Source organism: Homo sapiens, chromosome 1 (genome assembly GCF_000001405.40).
Source record: "Homo sapiens chromosome 1, GRCh38.p14 Primary Assembly".
NCBI lineage: Eukaryota > Metazoa > Chordata > Mammalia > Primates > Hominidae > Homo > Homo sapiens.
In genome coordinates this window covers 93,712,395-93,734,842 of record NC_000001.11, presented here as the reverse complement: position 1 = coordinate 93,734,842, position 22,448 = coordinate 93,712,395, and the positions used below count along the sequence as shown (strand labels likewise).

General features: G+C 46.2%; 1 protein-coding gene across 12 annotated transcripts in view, besides 2 other annotated features; it reads left to right on the top strand.

Annotated features, from left to right (window-relative positions):
* BCAR3 (BCAR3 adaptor protein, NSP family member) overlaps positions 1–22,448 on the top strand; it is a 286,411-nt gene that overhangs the window by 113,309 nt on the left and 150,654 nt on the right. For 2 of the 12 annotated variants that reach the window (NR_178013.1, NR_178016.1), the window contains exon 3: positions 11,304–14,954. The exons of 9 other annotated variants lie outside the window; for them this stretch is intronic. Coding sequence is in view for 1 of the 3 variants with exons in the window: in NM_001412054.1 (NP_001398983.1) it covers positions 11,538–11,544 (7 nt within the window). In the remaining 2 variants the exon portion in view is untranslated. Of the gene's footprint in view, positions 1–11,303; positions 14,955–22,448 lie in introns of those variants that run through there. One more of the 12 variants, NM_001412054.1, reaches the window with a different exon arrangement.
* Positions 17,514–17,633: an enhancer, noted in NCBI's record as "active region_1341". NCBI's record gives its function as "activates an Ori minimal core promoter by ATAC-STARR-seq in GM12878 lymphoblastoid cells {active_cell/tissue: GM12878}" and the evidence as "EXISTENCE:reporter gene assay evidence [ECO:0000049][PMID:35858748]".
* Positions 17,644–17,713: an enhancer, noted in NCBI's record as "active region_1340". NCBI's record gives its function as "activates an Ori minimal core promoter by ATAC-STARR-seq in GM12878 lymphoblastoid cells {active_cell/tissue: GM12878}" and the evidence as "EXISTENCE:reporter gene assay evidence [ECO:0000049][PMID:35858748]".

The window sequence follows — 22,448 nt, the reverse complement described above, 5'->3', positions numbered from 1 at the left end:
CGTTTCGCACAGAAAGCCCCGTGCTGCCTTAACATGGTGTCAGATGCCAGGAATGGGCATCCTCTGTGTGCCCGCTATTCTGAAGCCCCTTCTGATTGGCCCAGTAACATCTCTGAATCCCTGCCTTGGCTTCCTGATTTGCCTTGAGTGCTGGAACTACAGATAGCTTTGCCGACGTTGCTGGGGCCCTCCCCGCCTGGAAGTAACAGCCTCTGCACTAGATGGTTTGCCCTGGGTGGCCCATGCAAAGCTGTACTGCTGCTGCCACCTGTTCCCAGGTACCGCCACTGCCCTGGAACACCACACCCCCTCCCACCCCATCTGACCTCCTCAGACGTCAGCCCAGGTCAGAGCACACTCTTGTGTGTCTCCCTCCTTTGGCCTCAGTGACTGCAGGAGCCAGCCACCCACCCTATTGCAGTCCCACCATTTCCTTCCAGCTCAGGCCTCAGGTTCAACCACACCATGTGACAGATCCTACCAGAATGCTGAAGTCATAGAGCAATGTTTCCTAAACTAGGGAATCCAATGCATCCTGAAAATATATCCATGCACTCCAGTTTGAGGAACACTGCACTGAAAGATAATGCAGTCACTTCTAGTTGACATGATTATGAACCAAACACAAATGTGCGCCTTGAAACTTCATGTCAGTACTCTTGCATACTTCACAAATGTTGTGAATATAGATTAGATGAGGCACATAAGACACCTGGAACTCCATCTGAAGAGGCCATGTAATTACGAATGTGTATTATTATTTGTCTTCATCCTGTCTGCCAGCTGAGAGAGACAGCCAGCCTACATTTGCTCAGCAGCCTGGAACTTTCTCCTCCAAAGAAAACCCAGTTCTCCCTATAGAAATCCAATAAGGCCAGATATTTAGGAGAAAAGTCACTGGTTTCTACCCCTCAGAGATTGGATTTTGGTTTTAGATTCTGCTTTTCAAATTAACTTGTCTACTATGCCTATCTGGCCTAATGCTTAAAAGAAAAAAGAATGTTTGAATAACCTTTATACTAGTCCCCAACAGGCCAAGGGCTCTGAGAAAATGAGAGGATCTGGAGAAGGGTAGATGCATGCACACACACACAAACACAACCCACGTGCATACACATGTGTGCACACATATGTTCTAAGAGTGCCCATACAGGTGCATGCGTGTGCACACACTCTCACACACACATCATCCAGCTGTGCTGAAGTCTCTGGGTAGAGAAAAGGGTACTGACCTGTGTTTACACTGTGCCTTTTGTCTGGGGTACGCAAAGTTCCTTCCAAGGAAGGCAGGCTTTGTCACTCCTCACCACCCCACTGGGAGGCAGCTGCCCCAATCAAGTCCTGGGGGATATCCCGCTAGAGCCCTGTGTGTCCCCTCTAAACTCTCCTTTACCCCCAGCGCAACCCTCCTCCTGAACACCGGCTTCCTGTTCCTGGGCATTTTGTCCTTAATCCCCCTCCACTGTCCTGCCCACTGTCTTGTAAGGTGGGTCGGGGGGTGGGGGGACATACAAAAAAATCCAAAATACTAAGTAAGCCGGGGCATCTTTATCTTTCCTGTGACTCTTCTGGTTTGGTGTGTCTGTACTTCCAGGGAACTTGTCCTCAGGCGGGCCTGAGTAGGAGACAAATCTTCAGCTGCTGGTGGGGAGGGGCTAGAATATTTGGAGTTTTCAGTGCACTTATTCCTCAGGGACTTTTTTTTAAAAAAAGAAAGCAGCCGAGACCCAGAGTCTAGCAAGGATCCATAGTCCCAAATTCTGCTCTGGTAGAAGACCTGGTAAAATGCTGCATTGGTCTCAGTTTTGTATTTCGTGTTGCTTTCTTTGCTGGGGGACTCAGATATTAACTCCATTAATAGTTTGAATGCAGTGCAAATGCTTCTCCTTCTGTAGTTATTGTTTGTGTTTAGCTGGTCTTTGTCTAGAAATGATCATTGCTGCAGGTGTAGGAGGAAGGGGCACCATTGTGCAGTTCTCAGTCTGTATCAAAGGTTTCTGAAATTGCTGCCCTGAGAAGTCAGGCAGGTTGAGAGGAGGGGAGATCTCTTTACTTTCCTGAGGCTGTTTTCTGCAGTTTGGGGTTTTGGAGAAGGCATCAAGGCTGAAGGACGGTGGGATCTCCCCTAGGGGGCCTCAAGGCAACTGCTGAAGTCGTTTTTCTCAGTCCTTTCAAATCAGATCTTCCTTTTCTTTTCTTTTTCTTTTCGTTTTTTTTTCTTTTTTTGAGACAAGGTCTTGCTCTGTCACCCAAGCTGAAGTTCAGTGGTGTGATCTCAGCTCACTGCAACCTCTGCCTCCCAGGTTCGAGTGATGCTTGTACCTCAGCCTTCTGGGAGTAGCTGGGATTACAGGCACCCACCACCACTCCCGGCTAATTTTTGTATTTTTTGTAGAGACAGGGTTTTGCCATGTTGGCCAGGCTGGTCTCAAATTCCTGGCTTCACGTGATGTACCAACCTTGGCCTCCCAAAGTGCTGGGATTACAGGCATGAGCCACTGCACCTGGCCAGATCTTCCATTTCAAACCTCTTTCATTCTCTGTCTCCCTCCACCTCTTGGTGCTGATTTGTCTGTCCTGAGGCTTTCTGGCTTTACAAAGCATCTTCTGGCACTGGACACGTTGTCTAGGAACAGGTTTCACCCCCAGGGCCCTGTCCTAAACACTAGCCCTGCTAATTTTGGCTCCACACTGTGAAGCCACCCGTTCTGTGAACCTCTTTCTATTCCCTAAATATGCCAATTCTCTCTCTTTTTCTTTCTCACTTTCCCTGGAGAGTAGAGTCTCTCCTGGATGTGCAGACATGGACAGTCAGCTGTCCACGCGGTTTGCTGTTTTTGGTCTTGTTTCCCAGCTTTGCCTGCCAGGCCCACCTCTGAGCCTCACCCACGGGGCCTCTGCTTCTACCATCTCCAGGATCAGAGCCCTTGCTACCTTCCTTCTCTTTGCCCAGAGGCAGTGGGGGCAGGTGAGGGGAAGGCCCCTTGAAATCTGGGAGGATAATATTCCCACTCCCTACTCCCCAGGCACTTGGGGCACTATGCCTGAAAAGGACTGTTTGGGAGATTTTGAATCTCATTTTGTAATCTCTCAGCCATGCACTGTGCCAAAGGGAGAGAAAATTGCTTGGATTCAGGTGGCACTTGAAATATTTTATTTTATTTTATTTTATTTTATTTTATTTTATTTTATTTTACTTTAACATCTACTATTTATTTATATAAGACAGAGGCTTCCCACTGCTGTTTTTATCCCATTCAGAACATGTTTTCATAGCTGAGCCCCTGGCCTTGTACCTTCTTCCTTTCCAGCCTCTCAGATAAAATGGGTTAATTGGAGGGCGGAGCAGGCCCAGCGGCTTTCCCCTGGCATAGAATCGTTGTTGTGCCTCTCCTAGATTGGAAAAAAAGAAAAAACAAACTAGCTTTAGATAAACAGAAAAGTTGCAAAGATAGTACAGGAAATTCCCATAGAATCCTCACTCAGTTTCCCTGTTGTTAACCTGTTATATTCCCATGGAATATTTGTCACAATTAAGAAACCAATACTGGTACATTATACTAGTAAGTAAAGTCCACCCTTTATTTGGATTTCACTAGTTTTCTCCCCATGTCCTTTACTGTTCCAGAATCCCATCCAGGATACCACACTGCACAGAGTCGTCCTTGGCCTCCTCTGGCCTGTTTCTGACTGTTTCTGACTTTCCTTGTTCTGATGACACTGGCAGTTCTGAAGAGTACTTACTGGTCAGGTGTTTTGTAGATTGTCCCTTGGTTTTCATTTGTCTGCTGCTTCTCCCATGGCTAGACTAAGGTTATGAATTCTGGGGAGGAAGACCACAGAGGTGCAGTACCTTTCTCATCACAATGTACCAAGGGCACATGCTGCCCACATGACTTATTCCTGATGTCCATTCACCTGGATCACCTAGCTGAGGAGTGTTTGCCAGGGTTCTCTACTGCCAAGTTCTTTCCCCACTTTCCATTCTGTACTCTCTGAAGCAAGCCACACTCAAGGGAGGTGGGGGAAGGAGGTAAGCTCCACCTTCCGGATGAGGGAGTACCGACACATATTACTTGGAATCTTCTGTAGGGGAGATCCCAGACATGTTTTTTAAGTAACTCAGACATTCCCTCCAGCACTTACTAAAAGGTCAGTGGTGCTGGATGTGTGGATTTTGCCAGGTTGGTGCCACAGACCTCAAGTAGAGCATCTAACAGGGCCATACCCTGGGGGTTTTCAGTTCCTTGGTATGAGGGAAAGCGATTTGGATATGCAGAGTACAGGACGTATGTGTATAAACATGTAACCACTGTGTAAAATCACAGAGTCATTCAAAAATGTTTAGCAAGGGACCACAAATGTACAGCACTCTGCTGGGTGCTGAAGGTGTGGAGTGGCAAATAAGACTCAATCTAGGTCCCAGGTGTGGCGGGCTGGAATGCCATGCAGTTAACCAGATATCTCTGCACACCCACTGTCAGCCCAGTTTTGAAGCAGCAATTACAAGCGTGATGAGCAATAAGATGGAAAGTTCCAGGTACTGTCAGAGAGCTCGGGTAAGGGGAGTCAGTGAAGGCCTCTCTGTGGACGTGAAGGATGGGCAGGAGTGAGCCAGGTGTTGGCGGGGGAGGGACAGGGAGGGCTTCCAAGGAGAAAAGCTCACCAGGCGAGAATAATATGTGTTAAAAACAAACTAGTGTCAAGAGGGACATCTGGAGGAACTGAGAGATGCTTATATGGAAAGAAAACTGCTTCCTGGGAAAAAAATCACATGATAATTTAGTCATATGGAATAGTTCTACTTTCTTAAAATAAGCCTGTTCTATACAATTTAAGACATAAAATGCACTAGTGTTTGATAATAGATTTATGCTTTAATATTCTGCTAAATTTATATATAAACATGCATAAGATTCAAGTGTTTCAGAAATTAAGTGCTAAAACTGAAAATGTGTACTAGAGAGAAGCGTAGAAATGACTGGAAGGTTATTTTAGTGCAAGCTGATGTGGCCCCAGTTCTCCATCTCAGGACAGAGGCTCTCATTTCCCCAGATGCTGGAGTGGTGCCCACTGAGGGCTCACAGCCAGGACATCCCAGACGTTGCCTTCTTCTGAGGGGAGCTGCCCACCCACAGTATACCCCTCCTGATGACTGGCTGATGCAGAGGTATCAAGGCCTGGCTCCCTGGCCTCAATCTCAGACAACTCTGAGAAGCCATCCCAGCGTCAGGGCTTCCGGTGGGGTGGGTTAAGGCCTCTGTGACAACTGCACTGCAGTTCAACTTCCCCTCTGCCCAGTGCTACTCCTCTCACAGCATGTCAGATCTGGTTGGTCCCCAACATATGATGGTTCAACTTACAATTTTTAGGCTTCTTGACAGTGCAAAAACTATCTACATTCAGTAGAACCCGTAATTCCAGTAGCCATACAACTTTTCTGTTTCTCACTTTCAGTACAGTATTTAATAAACTACATGAGATACTCAACACTTTATTATAAAATAGGCTTTATACTAGATGATTTTCCCCAACTCTAGGCTAACGTGAGTGTTTTGAGCACAGTTAAGGGAGGCAAGGCTAAGCTATGATGTTCAGTAGGTTAGGTGCATTTTCAACTTAAGATAGTTTCAACTCACAGTAGGTTTATAGGGACATAACCCCATAAGTCCAGATCATCTGTATGGTTTTCGAGAGCATTCCCCAATAAACTGCCTACATGAAAATCTCTGCCTCAGAATGTATTTCCTGGGGAATTTGACCCTAGAAAATACAGTGTACAGCAGATATACCATGTGTTAGTGTCCTAGTGATACAGAAAGGAAGAGCATGGTCCTTTTAAATGATAGGGAAGCCGGGAAGGGAAGTGCTGGGTAGAGGAGGGCGTGGTCCCTGGCTATGGCTCCACCCCCACGGACCTAAGTGAGGACAGGCATTTTTTTTTTCCTGCCCAAATGTTGCATTTCCCAAGACCACCCTGGCCTGCCGCGCCCCCATCCTATGTCTATAAAAACCCTGAGACCCTAGCAGGCAGACACACAGATGGCTGGATGTTGAGAGAAGCAGATCGGTGGAGGAAGACACAAGTGGCTCGATGTCAAGAGGACGTCGAGGGAAGTATGCTGGCAAAAGAGGGCATGACAGATGCCGGCATGCCTGCAGGCCATTGACCAGCACTGGAAGAAGGCAGAGTTTGGCTGGGACAGTTGGAGGAGAGCCCGGGCAGCTAAGTAGCCTGACTCCATCCCTTTTTGGCTTCCCCATCTGCTGAGAGCTATCTGCACTCAATAAAACCTTGCACTCATTCTCCAAGTCCACGCGTGATCCAATTCTTCTGGTACACCAAGGCAAGAACCCAGGATACAGAAAGCCCTCTGTCCTTGCAACAGGGTAGAGGGTCTAATTGAACTGGTTAACACAAGTCGCCTATAGACAGCAAAACTAAAAGAGCACCCTGTAACACACGCCCACTGGGGCTTCAGGAGCTGTAAACATCAACCTCTCAACACTGCCATGGGGTGGGAGCCCCACGACCTGCCCGTCTGTGTGCTCCCCTAGAGGTTTGAGCAGCGGGGTACTAAGGAAGTGAGCCACTCCCCCTGTCACACGCCCTGCGAGGGGGACAAAGGAATTTCTCATTTCACTAGGGCTGCTGTAAAAAATTTATCACAAACTTGATGGCTTAAAACAATAGAAATTTATTCTCTTCCAATTCTGGAGGCCAAAAGCCTCACATCAAAGTGTCAGTGGGGATACACTCCCTCTGGAGGGTAGAGGGGAGAATCCTTCCTTGCCTCTCCCAGCTTCTGGTGGCTCCAGGCGTTCCTTAGTCTGTGGCAGCATCACTTCAATCCTGCCTTGGTCTTTGCATGGCTTTCTCCCCTGTGTCTGTTTCTTGCCCTGTCTCTTCTAAGGACTTGCCATTGGATTTAGGACCCACCCAAATCCAGGATGTTCTCATCTTGAAATTCTTAACTTCATTACATCTGCAAAGATAGTTTTTCCAAATAAGATTATAATTACAGGTTTCAAAGTGGATGTGTCTTTTGGGGGGGCCACTATTCAACCTGCTGCATACACCAACATATTAAAGTGATTATATCCCAGGGTGGGAATGGGATTTATAGGTAACTTTAATTTTCTTCTTTGTACTATTTTGTTTATTCCAAATTTTGTACAGAAGGCATGTATAACTTCTGTAATGGTAATTTTTTAGAGTTGATGGTTTGACCTAAAGTGTGCAGTCTGGATTAAAAGGTACCTGCCTCGTGAGTGGAGGGCAAGAGGTAATGGCCACAGATAGGCTGAAGGACTCTCCCATTACAAAATGACTGGATCCCAAATTCTTGAATAAAGTCCAGTTTTTAATACATTGCCGAGCTTACAAGAAGTATGGTGAATCCCTAAGTTCTCTCCCAGTCTTTTCTGACCCAAATTCAAGAGTTGAAACTAAACCTGGGTAAAGCAGTAAATAACCAAGAGTGAAAGTTGACCTGAGAGTAAGTGCCTATCTAGGAGCTAGTCCAGAAGAAAAAGCCTTGGGCTAGAGGTAAGGTAAGGCTGCCACATTAAATCCAGGGACCTCTTAAGGGGCTTATGTGGTTCCAAATTAATGCATCATCTGGATCTAGACAGAAGCAAATGCAAACTCCCTCTGCAGGAAAGCATCCCCACTTTAGGACCATAGTTCCACAGATTAAGACCATGACAATGCAGGCTTACAATGAAAGACTGCAAAATGCGCAAGGAAACAAAGCCACCATGTACAAGAGTCAATGGAAGGAACAGAAAACAGATTTAAAATTATTAGATAAACAAAAGCTCTGCAAGGATTTCTACAAATCAAAAAGACAACCCAAGAGAAAAGATGAAAGGAGTCATAAAACAGGCATTTCACAAAGAAAAAACACCAATGTTTGATAAACACGTAGAAAGATGCTCAGCTTCGTTAGTAAAGGAAGTACAGGCTGTTGATAAATACAAAATCAATATACAAAAATTAATTGTAGTCACCACCTGTGGGCAGAAATTTAGTGGTTTGTTTTTTTAAAAAAGATACTACTGCAAAGCAATAAAAGTAGTGTATTTCATAGAATCTAAGACACCATCAGTGATACGATGAACCACGACTTTATGCACTCTAAGAAAGGAAAAAGACTGCCAATTATAATTGCAAGATGCCATCAACTATAAGACACAATCCAGATTGTGGGCAAAAGTGTGAGAGCTATGTGGAGAAAAGTATAACTTTATCCAAAGGTACTAAAGAAGGCCTAAAAGTCAAGAAGTAATCTGAGTTCATAGACAGGAAAACTCCCTATCACAATTACATCAGCTTTCCCTAAAATAATTAATTAAAGCAGTTAAGCCAATGCAATTCCCCTCACAATCCCAACAGAATTTTTTTTGAGACACATGACAAGATAATTCCAAATTTAGGTGGGCTGTAAAGTATTAAGAATAGCTAATAGGCCAGGCACGGTGGCTCATGCCTGTAATCTTGACACTTTGGAAGGCCAAGGTGGGAGGATTGCTTGAACCCAGAAGTCTGAGACCAGCCTTGGCAACATAATGAGACCCTGTCTCTCTCTCAAAAAAAAATATATTTAAATTGGCTGGGCATGGTGGTATGCACTTGTGGTCTAAGCTACTCAGGAGGCTGAGGTGGGAGAACCGCTGGAGCCTAGGAGGTTAAGGCTGCATTGAGCTGTGTTTGCCACTGCACTCCAGCGTGGGCAACTGAGTGACACCCTGTCTCAAAAACAAAAAAACAAAAAAAAAAGCTAATAACCTCTGAAGAAGAAGAATAAGGAAGAGGGAATTTCTCTACCAGATATTATTGACTTATTATAAAGTGGTGATCAAGATAAAATGTACTGATGCCAGAATGGAAAAACTGGCCAATGGAACAGAATAGAGAGCCCAGAAATAGACCTGCCAAATATGGAATCTTGATATAAGACAGAAGTGAAGCTGCCGATTCCTGGAAAAAGAAAGGGCTAGTAAATAAGTAATGATAATTGGTGGTTAATAAGGCAAAAAATTGGATCCCTACTTCACCTCTACCCAAATATCAACTCTTAGTGGATTAATGATTTCAATGTGAAAGACAAACCTTTAAAACTTTTAGAGAGAATACTGAAGAATATCTTTATGGCTTCAGAATACAAAAAATTCATTAGACACAGAGAGCATTAATCATAAAAGATTAATAAGTTAAGCTACATTAAAATTAATATACCACAAAGAAATAGAAAAAACAAACCCCAAACTGAGAGATACACAATAGGATCAATATAGGATTTGTTTCCAGAATATGTAAAAGATTTCTACAAATCAGAAAGAAATAGACAAACAACCCAAGAGAAAAGATGAACAAGAGACATAAGCAGGCATTTCACAAAAGAAGAAACACAAATATGTGATAAATATGTGGAAAGATGCTCGGCCTCATTAGCAAAGGAAGTACAGGCAGGCTGGGCCATTTTAAGGCCCTCACAGTCCCTATGTAATGCTTATTTCTGGAAGTCTAATCTTATAATATTTCACATACCATCATGCATCCACATCCCACATGAAATTTATTCATTCAGTATATATTTTTGAGTGCCTACTGGTGCCAGGAAATATTATATGTGCTTGGGATGTATTGCTGAATAAAGGAGACGGGGTCTCTGCCTCTGTGAGCTTACACATGAGTGGGACATAGACAATGAAGAGAAGGAGGTGAACTACGTAGAAGTGTAGTGGGAAGCGACGAGTGCTGTGGGCTACGAAAGACAAAGCAGAGCAGGGTGAGGAGAAGTAGGTAAGAGGGACAGAGGCTCTTGGCTGGTGCAACTTACCCCACAGGTGCTCACAGCATTTCCCTCACTCATCAGTTCCCTTGGACCCTTCCGTCAGGCAGTTTCAAGTACTGAAACCCCTTCCTGGGGTTTCAGCTAAGAATGGTTTAGAGGGCTAATGCACTCAGAGGTCTTTATGGGTTGGTGGGTGGAAGTGGAGAGAAACCCTTGAGGACACCTCCACCAGCCCCATCCTATTCAGATACCAGTGGCAGGTCAGGGGTAGTAAGGACATTGCATCGGCTTCCCGCCATCTTCTCCAGCACCTCCCTCTCCTGTGGCCCATCCAGAGAAGGGGCCCACCTCTCCAAGGCCCACTAGATGGGACCTTTCCCAGATGAGAGTCCTTGGACACCAGGCTGGGTGGCAGGAGGGGAGCCAGGTAGCTCAGACTGGACAGCCGGTCATCCCTGTAGACACAGGCTCACAGTGCTGCAGGAAGCAGGCATTTTCTGCAGTGTGATCCTTTGATGCACCCCCTTGCACAAGAAAGAATCTACGGCAGCTTTCTGAACTCTGCAGGCACCACTTACATGTACAAATTTGGTGGCGTCTATTCCTTGGGAGTTATAACAGTCCAACAAACAAGGGCTCCTGTGTATGAAGGCCCAAAGATAGGGCTGCCCCAGCAGCAGAAACAGACCAGGAAGGCACTGCAGGCCAGTAATGGACGCAGCCTTTCGGAAGTCCATTCACAATGGGACTGGTGTGATGGTGGCCCTTTCTTTACCAATGTCCCCACCTGAGAGGCTGGACATGGACCCCCCAGCCACCAGCGCTGGCATCCTAACTCTGGGGGCCTCGGTTCCCCTCTGTGGGGCTCCCCTCTGTGGCTCCCCTTGTTTTCACTTTGGCTAAGCTGCCCAAGCACAGGCTGCAGCTCAGTGGGATTAGTGCTCAGCCCTACTTAATCACTTTGTTGCCCCCCAACCTGTTCATCAAAAGCTCCTACTGGCCTGGACAGAGGATCAGTTCATTTCTTCCAGGTCTGCAGAGACAAAGGCACTGCTATGAGGTCCCCAGAGGGAGGTGGCCAAGTGGCTTCTCTTTCATAATGGAATTCGACATCTCCTTGTAATTAGAGACCACACAGGATGGGAAAATAAGAGCAGGGTAGCCCTTCTAGCATGAAAACCCATCCGCCTTTACCAAGAGAACTGCCGAGAGGCCCTGCATTCCAGTCCCAGCTGTATAAAACTCCTGGCCTCCTTCAGTGGTTATCACAGCCTCTTTTTCCTTTGCCTGCCTCCTAGATCAAATTCAAGGTCCTGTCTCTGAGACAAGGTTCATGTCTCAGGATCATTCAGTCCTCAAGAACAACCTCCCAAGTCTTGTTGTTCCTGAGGCTCCTGTGGCAGAGAAAGACATTTAATAAAGGCATTGAGGGGGTGGAAATCAAACAAACTAAAACCAAGTGGAAAGTCAGAATCCATCCTTAAAGAAATGTGCTCTTCCCAGGAGACTCTCCCAGGGAGCTGGTGGAAAAGACTGGGCCTGAGGACCCTGGAGCGAGGAGTCAATGGAGGATGCTGAAGGTTGAGAGGGGCACAGTGCGCAGCTACAGTCATCAGCAAAAGCAGCTTCCATCGTGGTGTGGAGGGAGCAGCCAGACCATTCCAGCACATCGCTCCTTTGAATGCTGGGTGTCCACGCCCAGATGGCCTTTCCCTAAAGGAATGCAAGCCTGTCACCATGCAGGGTATCTGTTTGCCTCCATGCCAACAGGGCAGCTCGGCCAGAGGACACTGGAGTGTGTGTTTCTATTTCAAATCTCCCTGCAAACCACTTTCCTTGCTAAGATGTGTACCCCTGCTAGGAGCATCAGGTTTCCAGAAGGACCTTATTCCTGGGGCCAAGTCAGTGTTTCAGGGAAAATTGTTTTTTTCCAGCTACACCTCTGGGACTGCCTCTGGAGCTGGGGTCTATTGGTTCCTTTCTTTCTTCCAGGCATTTTGAGGTCTTGCCTGAGAGCTTAGAGGTCTGCCCAAGCCTCTAATCACGGCTGCTTCTTTGTTCTTCAGGCGGTGACCTTTACTGACATCATCTCAACCCCCATCTATTTGAATCTCCCATTCTTTTTTCCTCTTTCTGGGTTAGAGTGAAGGATTTTACTCTCAGGGGCCTAATCCTGTCGCTCTTGTGTGTGACTAATTCCCTCCCCTCCCCCTTGGCTCCTGCAAAGAGGAAGGGGCCTGTTCGCCTGACTAGAGGGTCTGCGGCCCTTGTCAGCAATCAAAGCACAAACATATTCCTCCGGGTGATTTCCTGCCCTGAGAGCCCAGCCCGGAACACAAGCCTCCTCTGTTCCCTCACAGCCCACCAGTCCCTGGGACTGGGACTTAGGCAAGAGGATTTATGATATAGAAAGTAATAAGTCACCCTTCCAACCTGGCAACGTCTCGTGTGAAAGCAAGTTGTATTGTTGTTCAGACAATGGCTCCCAGGAGGAGAAATAGCGTCCCTCAGAGCCCCACAGTCCTCTAGTGGCTGCCTGCGGCTTAGAGTGTGCAGAGGTGACCCAGCGCAGGATGGAGGCCTTAGTATCCCCAGGGCACCCCATGGACCGTGGCGGGTCAGCTGTGGCTATCTGATTTCTGAAGTTAAAAAGCACATAATTATGGTATTGTTTGACTGCCAAGAATTCTGGGTTAATCTCAGTTTTATTTTGACTGCTACCTAAAATAGTAGCCTGTCCCCAAGGACGCAGTAAAGGCCAAGAAGCCAAAAACAGAAAGGCAGGCCTGAGCTCTAGGAGGCCCTCACTCGGGAGTTCTGGAGAGGCTTATGAGTGCATGGGATCCGGTACCGGGAGCCAGGTCACCCCCAGGCCCTCCCTTCCATAGGCCTGTCCTTAGCCACCGGCCATGGCCGCCCCTCCCCCATGGGACCTGGCCGAGACTGTGGAGAGCTGCAGGATGGCCAGTCCCCACACACCCATTGTCTCCCTATGCACTCAGGACAGTCCCTGAGACAGTGTGGAGGTCTGCTTCTGTGATTTGGGGAGACAATAATAATAATAATAGTTGTCATTACTGAGCACTTGTGATGCACCAGCCACTGATCTAAGTGCTCCTGCATATGGTAACTCCTTTAGTCCTCATAGCCAGTAGGCACTCTGGCAATCTCCTAACCTGGCCAGAGCCATATGGCTAGTAGGTGGTGGAAACAGAATTCGGACCTGAGGAACCCTTGCTCCAGAGGCCACCTCCCCTACTTTGTCACATGGCCTCTCAGGAGGTGAGCAGTGGCAGAACTTAAAGGCTCAGAAAGAACAGCTCCCATTGGAATCGGTGAGAGGCATCAGTTCCTAAGTGGAGGCCACGAGAATGGGCTTGGTGAGGGGTCGTTCTCCTTCTTGGAGCACAGATAGAAGATGTGCCTCAAGCATTCTCCACCATACTTAGGTCAGCAAACATTTACCAAGGGTTCCAGTCTGTTCTAGAGGTCTCCTGGCCACTGGGGCCTGTATCTCTAGGAAAAGTTCCGTCGCATTCCCAGGAGAATAACAATACAAAGTCATGTGTGCTTAGAGAGGAATGCTTCCTGCATGCAGTCAGGGAGGGCTTCCCAGGGGAGGGGACATTTGAGTTAGATCCTAAGGGATGCCAGGATTCTTCTGGGTTGACAAAGTAGAGGTGAACTCTCTGGGCAGAGGGGACAACCTGGGCAAACCACTGCTGTATTCCTCCAGGCTCAAGATGTTGTTCTTGAGGATTCTGTTCCCAAGGATTCTGAGCCACTGGGCCCTGGGCTCCAGTCTGCAGGGCATGGCAGGAACTGAGTAACTGTCCCCTCCCAGCTACTACTAATCCCTGCCATGCTGACTTCAGAGGAACCTTTCCTACCCTTCCTTCCTGCCCCACCTAGATGCCACCCTTCCAGTCTGAGGCATCCCTGAACTTCTAAAGTGCCCAGAGCTGCCAATCTAGCCGCTACCAGTGGCCACTATTCCAGCGGTGCTCCCAGGGTCAGCCTCGCCTCAGCCAGAAGCACCTGCGGAGCTGGCTCAGGCTAGCCCTGCTGCCCGACACCCTGATGCACTCCCAACCCTGCTCCACTCCAGCCACCTCCTGCCCTGCTAATGGCAGGGCAGGCAGACACCATGAGAGCGCAGGGCCTGGGAGTTCCGGCAGCTTCTTCATTCTTCTCCCCTCCCCACAAGTGAGAAAAAGACACAAGGAAGGCCAAAGGGCCAGGCCCTCAGGCCCAGGGTGTGTAGGGGCGGGTGGGTCTGTGTTCCTCTGGCTCCGGGGAGCATCCTCCTCCTTTCTACCTTTTGTTTGTAGTTGTTCATTTATTTTAATAAAAGTGATTCTGAGTTTTTATTAGGAAAAAACAAACACACAAGGAACAAAGGCAGTAGGAGTTTTAAGTCTTGGCCTGTGGAGGAGGCAGTCGCAGCACCGGAGCATCGACCCAACTTCGGGTCTCCATCAGGCGCTGTGGTCTGGGAAGGCGAGTGGCCATGTAAGGCACCACTGTTCAGAGAGACCAGGGTCTGGAGGCAGAAGCCCCTCTACTGAATGCTCCTGCAGGCCCCTGTATCAGCAGTGAAGAAGGATACTCCAAAGTTAGGTCCTGTTTTGCCCAAGAGCACACAGCCAGGAAAGAGTGGCACCAGCCTCCAGAGTCCAGGATCTTTCTTTCTGCAGTATCTCACAATTTCAACTTGCCCTCTTTGTCTTAACACTTTTTTCTTAAAGCCTCCAGAGGAAGCCTTCATTCAGAGATGCAATGTGCAGGGGAAGCTGCACGTCCACAGAGCTGAGGCCCCAGGCAACCCAGAGCATCCTAAAACCCTGTGGAACTTCAGGGGAGAAACAGGTGGAAGGAGAGGCCTTCCCAAGGAAGTGAGGCATAGCCAGCTGGCAGCCACCACCTCATTTCTTTGAGAGCTTCACAAATCCCAGTCCCTTGCTTGACTGAGGATTTTTATAAGAAAGACCCACGGGTTTATTCTACAACATACCAGTGCCCAGGAAAATTACATGAGCCCAGAAGTTCAAGGCAATAGTGCACTATGATTGTACCTGTGAATATAGCCACCGCACTCCAGCTTGGGCAACATAATGAGATTCTGTCTCTAAAATAAAAAATTGTAAAATTCAACTTTGAGCAAATCATAAGTGAACATTCAAATCTTCATGCATCAAGGGACCCAATTCCTCTTCCCAGAAGGATCAGAGATTCTCTCTCCATCAGAATTGCCGTAAACATGAACATCATGAAACACTTGCTGATTGTCTATGTACAGGTTCAAAGGACTTCTCCACTGCAGTTCAGCATTTATCACCAGTGCTTAGCTCGTTAAACTAATTATGTGCCTGCATTTCCACATTGAAAGTTTAAATATAGAGGCTGGGCAGGGTGGCTGACACCTGTAATCCCAGCACTTTGGGAGGCCGAGGCAGGCAGATCACGAGGTCAGGAGATCGAGACCATCCTGGTTAACACAGTGAAACCCCATCTCTACTAAAAAATACAAAAAAATTAGCCGGGCGTGGTGGTGGGCGCCTGTAGTCCCAGCTACTCGGGAGGCTGAGGCAGGAGAATGATGTGAACCCGGGAGGCAGAGGTTGCAGTGAGCCAAGATTGTGCCACTGCACTCCAGCCTGGCAACAGAGTGAGACTCTGTCTCAAAAAAAAAAAAAAAAAAAAAAAAACAAGAAAGTTTAAATATAGAGACTAACTTACTCCTTTTTAATTTCTTTGTCAAAGCAAAAGCTGATGCAATAGAGGGCCCTCATACAACATGGAGCATCAACCATTTGCTAATGGCAGGGTCCCAGCTGGACCTTCCAGAGTAGTGGGCTCTATGAGAACCTGGAGATGAGAGTGGGGTTTATTTGGAGGCTTCCCTTTCACCCAGAAACGATTTTACAGGCGGAAAAAGATAAACTAATAAACCTGCAACTCTATTGGTGGTCTGGGGAGGCAAGTGGCCATGTGAGGCACCATCATCCAGGAATCCATTGACATCTTTTTGAATATACTTCAGCTGGGCGTCATGGCTCACACTTGTAATCCTAACACTTTGGGAGGCCGAGGCGGGCGGATTGCTTGAGTTCAGTAGTTCAAAACCAGCTTGGGCAACATAGGGAGACCCTGTCTCTAAAAAAAAAAAAAATACAAAAATTAGCTGAGTGTGGTGGTGCATGCCTGTAGTCCCAGCTACATGGGAGGCTGAAATGGGAGGATTGCTTGAGCCTGGGAGGTTGAGGCTGCAGTGAGCCGAGATCATGCTACCACACTCCAGCATGGGGTAACAGAGCCAAACCCCGTCTCAAAAAAAAAAAAAAAAAAAAAAAAGAAAAACAATGTAGTTCAGATGGTTGTGAAAATTAGACAGCATTTACTTTATGGCCAAGCATCCTGGAGGGACTTTACATTAGTTCACTTAATCTTCATGACAGCCCTTTAATGTAGCTATCATCTCCATTTTATAGTTGAGGAAATTGAGGCCCAGAGGTGTGAAGTAGTGCATGTAAGGCCACAGCTAGGATATGGCAGAGCCAGTAGTTAAGCCTGACCCCAGAATCCCTGCCCTTCTCCCATCATACTGCTGTGTCCTGGCCCAGCATCGCTCCTCACACTGCAGCCTCCCTCTGCACCACATGCCAGCGCTTTCTCACCCTGCTGCATTAGTACGCATTCTACCTTCATCTTTGGGGTCTAGTGGTTTCAGTCTTTCTAGGGAGAGTCTGATCATATGTATCAAAGTTTAGAAAACTACTTCTATCTTCCTTCATTTTCTACCTGCCCAAATTCCATTTATTTTACCAGACTCAGGCCAAATGACATGTCCTTTGTCATGAAACTTCTCCTCATCCTCTGATTGGAATTCAACATCTGCTACAAGAATGCAGGAGTATGTTTAAATTTATTATTTTATTTTAAGAGCTGTGAACGCAGGAAGTTTCCAGAGAAAGTCTTTAGACACTTGGAAATATTAAATGTGACAAACAGAACCAAGTAACAACCAAGTGAAGTGAACTTTAGGCTTCCCTGTCTTTTTAGAGTAATCTGCAAATGAACAGACAAAAAGTTCAACCCTCTGCCACCATAAATAAAAGAGATTTGCAATTGCTTTGATTTTGTTTTTAATATTAAGCTTAGACCCCTCCAAAAACGCAGGCCACACTCTCAGACTCTTACGCAATTTTCCACAATGAGCAGCCCCAATAACAACCCTGCAAAGGAAACCATCCTGTCACCTGAAGACAGGAATCTGGTTGCGCACAGTTCTCTTATCTCCAATTCTTTTTTTTTTTTTTTTTTGAGGTGGAGTCTCGTGCAGGCTGGAGTACAGCGGCACGATCTCGGCTCACTGCAACCTCCACCTCCCTGGTTCAAGCAATTCCACTACCTCAGCTTCCTGAGTAGCTGAGATTACAGGCACATGCCACCATGCCCAGCTAATTTTTTTTGTATTTTTAGTAGAGATGGGGTTTCACCATGTTGGCCAGGATGGTCTCAAACTCCTGACCTCAGGCAATCCGCCTACCTCGACCTCCCAAAGTGCTGGGATTACAGGCGTGAGCCACTGCGCCCAGCCTCTTATCTCCAATTCTTACTTCCATGTAGCCCTTGGCCTAAATGCAAAATCAACTAACTTTTGCTGCTTAAAAAACTGCCCCCAAATTTAGTTGTTCAAGGCAACAACAATTTATTTAATTCACAATTACAAACTCAGCAATTTTGGCTGGGCTCAGCTGGGCCTCCTTCTGGGCTGGGCTGGGTTCACTCATGTGTCTGTGATCAAGTAGCAGGTTGGCTGGGGACTGGTTGATCTGGGGTTACTCAGCTAGGATGACTCATCTCTGCTCCATGAGGTCTCTCATCCTTCAGCAGCCTAGCCTGGCCTTATTCACATGGCAGCAGCACAGATCTAAGAGTATAAGTAGATACTGTGCGGTTTCTTGAGTTCTAGCTAAGAACCTCTACAACCTTGTAACCTCTGCGTTCTGTTCATCAAAAGGCCAGCCCACATTCAAGGAGTAGAGAAATTGATTCCACCTGTTGATAGAACTGCAAAGTGTTGTGGCCTCAGTCTGTATCTACCGAGCCCATCTACAGCTTCACCACTCGTGCACCTGCATCTCCCTGCCTGAGTGCATGCTCTGCTCCTGAGAGCATGTCCATCTCCTGCATAAAGCAGACTAGAAGATCAGAGTGGATGCCCTCCAGTCAGCCCTCAGCCAATGAGGAGGGGAGCTAATGGACAAATCCCACAAGTTCCTTTCCCTTAGATAATTTCAAGGTGTGTTCTACACAGATTCTCCAAGGCGCTGTGGGAGATTGAACCCAAGTTTCCTATGGTGGTCACCTGCTCATGAGGCACCCTTTCTCGGCATTCCTCTTGGTTGTCTCAACGTCCCCTCTACCTTACCACACTCTGGGGATCAGCTCCCTCAAGTGATCTTGCAGTACTTGAAACCAAATCCTTTTAGGGCCTGGTTTTGGGGAAATCTATGCTAAGACAGAGAGATAAGAGTCAGATCACCCTTGATCTCACAGGCCAAGCTAATGAGTTTGAATTTATCTTGTAGGTGATTGAGCTTCAGTGGGTTTTGAGCAGAGAAATTGGTGTTTTACAAACAATATTAGTGGCAAAGTAGAAACTAATAATACCCAGTTCCGCTGACTTCAGGCCAGTGCTGTGACATCAACTGTATGCTATTGCTATTTTAGGCTTTGGATGTGAGAATATGCAGATCTTCTTTTAAAGTTCATTTATTTTTGAATAAGTAATACATACACATGGTGCAAAATTAGAAAAGTGCAAAAGATCTTTTGTTAGAATCATTTTTCAACACCAAAGGAGCATTTAAATAGCCATTGTGTTTTTAGAGTGTGTTAAGACATAGGGAGCTAGCTCTTGGCTCCTTCTGAGACCACTCACTCCTGGTGGCATCTTGCACTCTCACTCCTGCAAACTGTTCTGGGCCCTTCCAACACCCTGCAGCTCGCAAACCTCTGCTGGAAGGGCAGGGGAGAGACGCTGACATTTGTGGCCCAAAGTAAACTTGGCAGGGTTGGTGGATGCCATCCTTGCTCCCTGTCACCACAAATAATTGCAAGCTGGCTGAGCGCTACTCAAACGCATTAAGGTTTGTGGCTTGTTCTGACAGAAATTGAAAAAGGGCAACGTCAAGGCCAAGCCTACAGCTTTTATCTCGGTTAGCTGGGGAGAGGAAGAGATAATGATTCACAACACTCCAGGTCTTCACATTTCTCCTGAAGAGCCACCATCTGTCTATAACGTGAGGGAAGAAGTGCTGTCAGGTTAATTGCCTTGCGTCAGCCAAACCGTCTGCATTTATTTAAATCAAGTCAAGTCCATAAATAGTTTCGAGTGTCTGCTGTGGGCCAGCTCTGAGCTCAGCTCTCTGGGGTACTCAAGTAAGTGTGAGCCACCAGCTCTGGCACCCTAAGAGGCAGGCTGGTGATTTGGCAGTTCTGGTAGCTTAGAACCAGGCATGTTCAGTAAGAATCCCAGCCCCATCATCAATCAGCTGAGAGATCTTGGGCAGCTGAGTTGATCTCTCCAGAACCTCCTTTTCCTCACCTTTAAAATGGTCCTGCCTACTGCAAAGGGGTAGATGAAAATCTCCAAGGCAATCTTTGTTTCTGTCATCTTTCCTAGGAACTTACAACCTTTCCAGGGAAAAAAGACAATTTTACTTTGTGAAAAGTTAAGAAAACATTTCTAAAAGATAATTAACTGTTCAAAACAAAAAAAGAAACAAGAAAAGAAAGTAGGTAAACACAAGGGGTGATGAACTGCCAGACATCAGTGTTTGCTCTAGAAGTTGAGCCAGGAAGAATAGCAGGGGGGAAGAACAAGGAGGTGTTCCTGGTTTGTAATTTTATTCCATTTTTGCCTAATACAAAATTGCAGTGCCTGGCACATGGTAGGCATGCAATAAATATTGTTGAATGAGTGTTCAAGTAAATAATAAATGAATGAATATTCTGTACAGGTTTTGTCACTGACCCTTAGGAAAGGTACCCAGAGGAGAGTATGCAGAGATGATAAACAGATGGAATGGGAGATTTTATTTTCAAAAAAAATGCTTTTCCTGAGAAATCTTTCTGGTCTGTAAAGGCAGGAGTTGAAAATGGATATGACAGAAGCTTACAAAACTGCGAAAGTCACGGATGAGACTATTATCATCTTTTTTAGGTTTTTAATTAATTTATAAATCTTCATTTAAATATTGTGTTGCTAGAAGTAGGTACAGGATAACCTTTGAACTATATGAAGTTTTAGGACATCTGAAAAAAAAAAAAGAAAGGCGGTCTTAGTTGTGATTAGTATGTTAAAAGAATTTTTATCCCTTCACACTGGAGGCTGAAAATACAAGTAAAGCCAAGAGGGATTTGATGAATTCATGAAGGCTGATCTCAGGGTAAGTTGCTTCAGATTCCTCAGGGATTTTGAAGCTTATGTTCTGAAGGACTCCCATGTTAGAGACAGACTGCTGGGCTGTGGTGACCCTGGACCTAGCCTAGGAGCACATTTCTGTGGTTTTGTGTCCCTTCAGGGAATATTTAATAAACTCCCACTATGTGCCAGGCAGTGTTCTAGGGGCCAAGAACACAGTAGTCAATAAGATGGTGTCCTAGACCTCCAGGACTGCCAACCTAGAGACAGAAGGCGATATGGGAAGAAATACATTTCAGTGTATTAAGTTCCATAATAAAAGTATGATGGGGCCGGGCGCGGTGGCTCACGCCCGTAATCCCAGCACTTTGGGAGGCCGAGGTGGGCGGATCACGAGGTCAGGAGATCGAGACCATCCTGGCTAACACGGTGAAACCCTGTCTCTACTAAAAATACAAAAATTAGCTGGGTGTGGTTGTGGGTGCCTGTAGTCCCAGCTACTCGGGAGGCTGAGGCAGGAGAATGGCATGAACCCAGGAGGCGGAGCTTGCAGTGAGCTGAGATCGCACCACTGCACTCCAGCCTGGGTAACAGAGCGAGACTCCATCTCAAAAAAAACAGTTGAATCTATAAAAATTGTCTTTCTAATTTTTTAAATGCCTCTCCCCCACCTGCATTTTAGAATTCCCATGTACTCAGAAAATGTTTGTGGATGGATGAATGAATGAATAAGTAAGTAAAAGAATGAATTTTGGCTTCCAGAAATGGGCATAATTTTCAAATAGAAATTTATTAACATTTGAAGGCTCACTACAGTCAAATTCACTAAGTAACCACTTCTAAGATTGCTTTGTGTGAAAGTCCTAGAGGCTACATGGTTTAATAGAAAAAAAAATGGCATTTCAGTTTTTGGAACCATTGCTGTGGGTTTTTCAATCTGCAATTCTAGAAATCTTGAAGGGGGAAGCTCTATGCAATTGCAGCTACAGGCCAAAGGTCATTTTTACTAAGTATTGATTTTAGCAGCAAGGAACTCTTGCTTCAGTAAGACTTCTCACACTTGCCCTACCCTGAAATGAGCACATTTCACTCTGCATGTTGCTCAGGAAGGCTGCCTCTCTGAAGAGCCTCAACATAATTCCTACAGCCTGGCATGCTTGATGACATCACCAGGAATTTGGTGATTGGAAGGCAGAGGTCCAGGAAAGAATCTTGGACCAGGAATCTGGACCTCATTAAATAATTGGTCCTTCTGAGAAGCTTAGTCTTGGGTCCATATTCATGAACAAAGAGTTCTGTGGCTTCCTCAAGCTGCCTTTCTCCCCATCTACCTTTCACTACCTCCTGCCACTTATTCTCCCTCCAATAACAAACTGCACTAAGATAAGACCCTAGAGTGTGCCGTCCAATACAGAAGCCACTACCCGTGTCTGGTTATTTAAGTTTAAGTTAATTACAATGAAATAAAATTGAACATGCAATTTCTCAGTCATACTAGCCACATATCAAATGCACAAAAGCCACATATGTCTCCTGGCAACCATAGTGGACAGTGCAGAGAACATTCTCATCATTACAGAAAGTTCTACTGAACTGTATTGCCCTAGAGAAAAAGGAAGATGAAAGCTGAGGATGAAGGTGGTAATTTTGAAGAAAATGCTGATAACATCTAGACCAGCCATATAGAGATAAGGAACATTCTAGCAGGAAGTTGCCACAGGATGCAAAACTAGGCAACAAGTGAAGGGTGTGAAGAGAGAGAGTATAGCTTTGGGACGAGAACCCAGGTTTAATCCTGATTCTAACCAAGTGTGCGGCCATGAAGAGGTTATGTGAACTCTTGGAGCCTCAATCTTTTCATAAGGGAAATAGTGGTGATAATGGTTCCTATGCCATAGAGCTGATGTGAAAATCAATGAGACAATTAGCGTAAGGTGCTTAGCATGCTGCCTGGCATATGGAAAAGGTCAAAAATAATAAGGCAGGGAGGGGTAAGAAAAAAGAAAGGAGAGAACCTAGTGAGAAGACAGCTGACCTGGAAAGAAGAAATGTCAAGAGTATGTTTACATGGACCTAGACAGTGAGCACTTTTATGATGGCTGGAGAGTACAAATCAGAAGGACAGAGCAACAGAGGCAGCTGGACCTCTGGAAACCTGAGGAGCACGAGGTGAACGTCCTCTGGATTAGGGGAGCTGTGCCAGGCGGGGCACAATC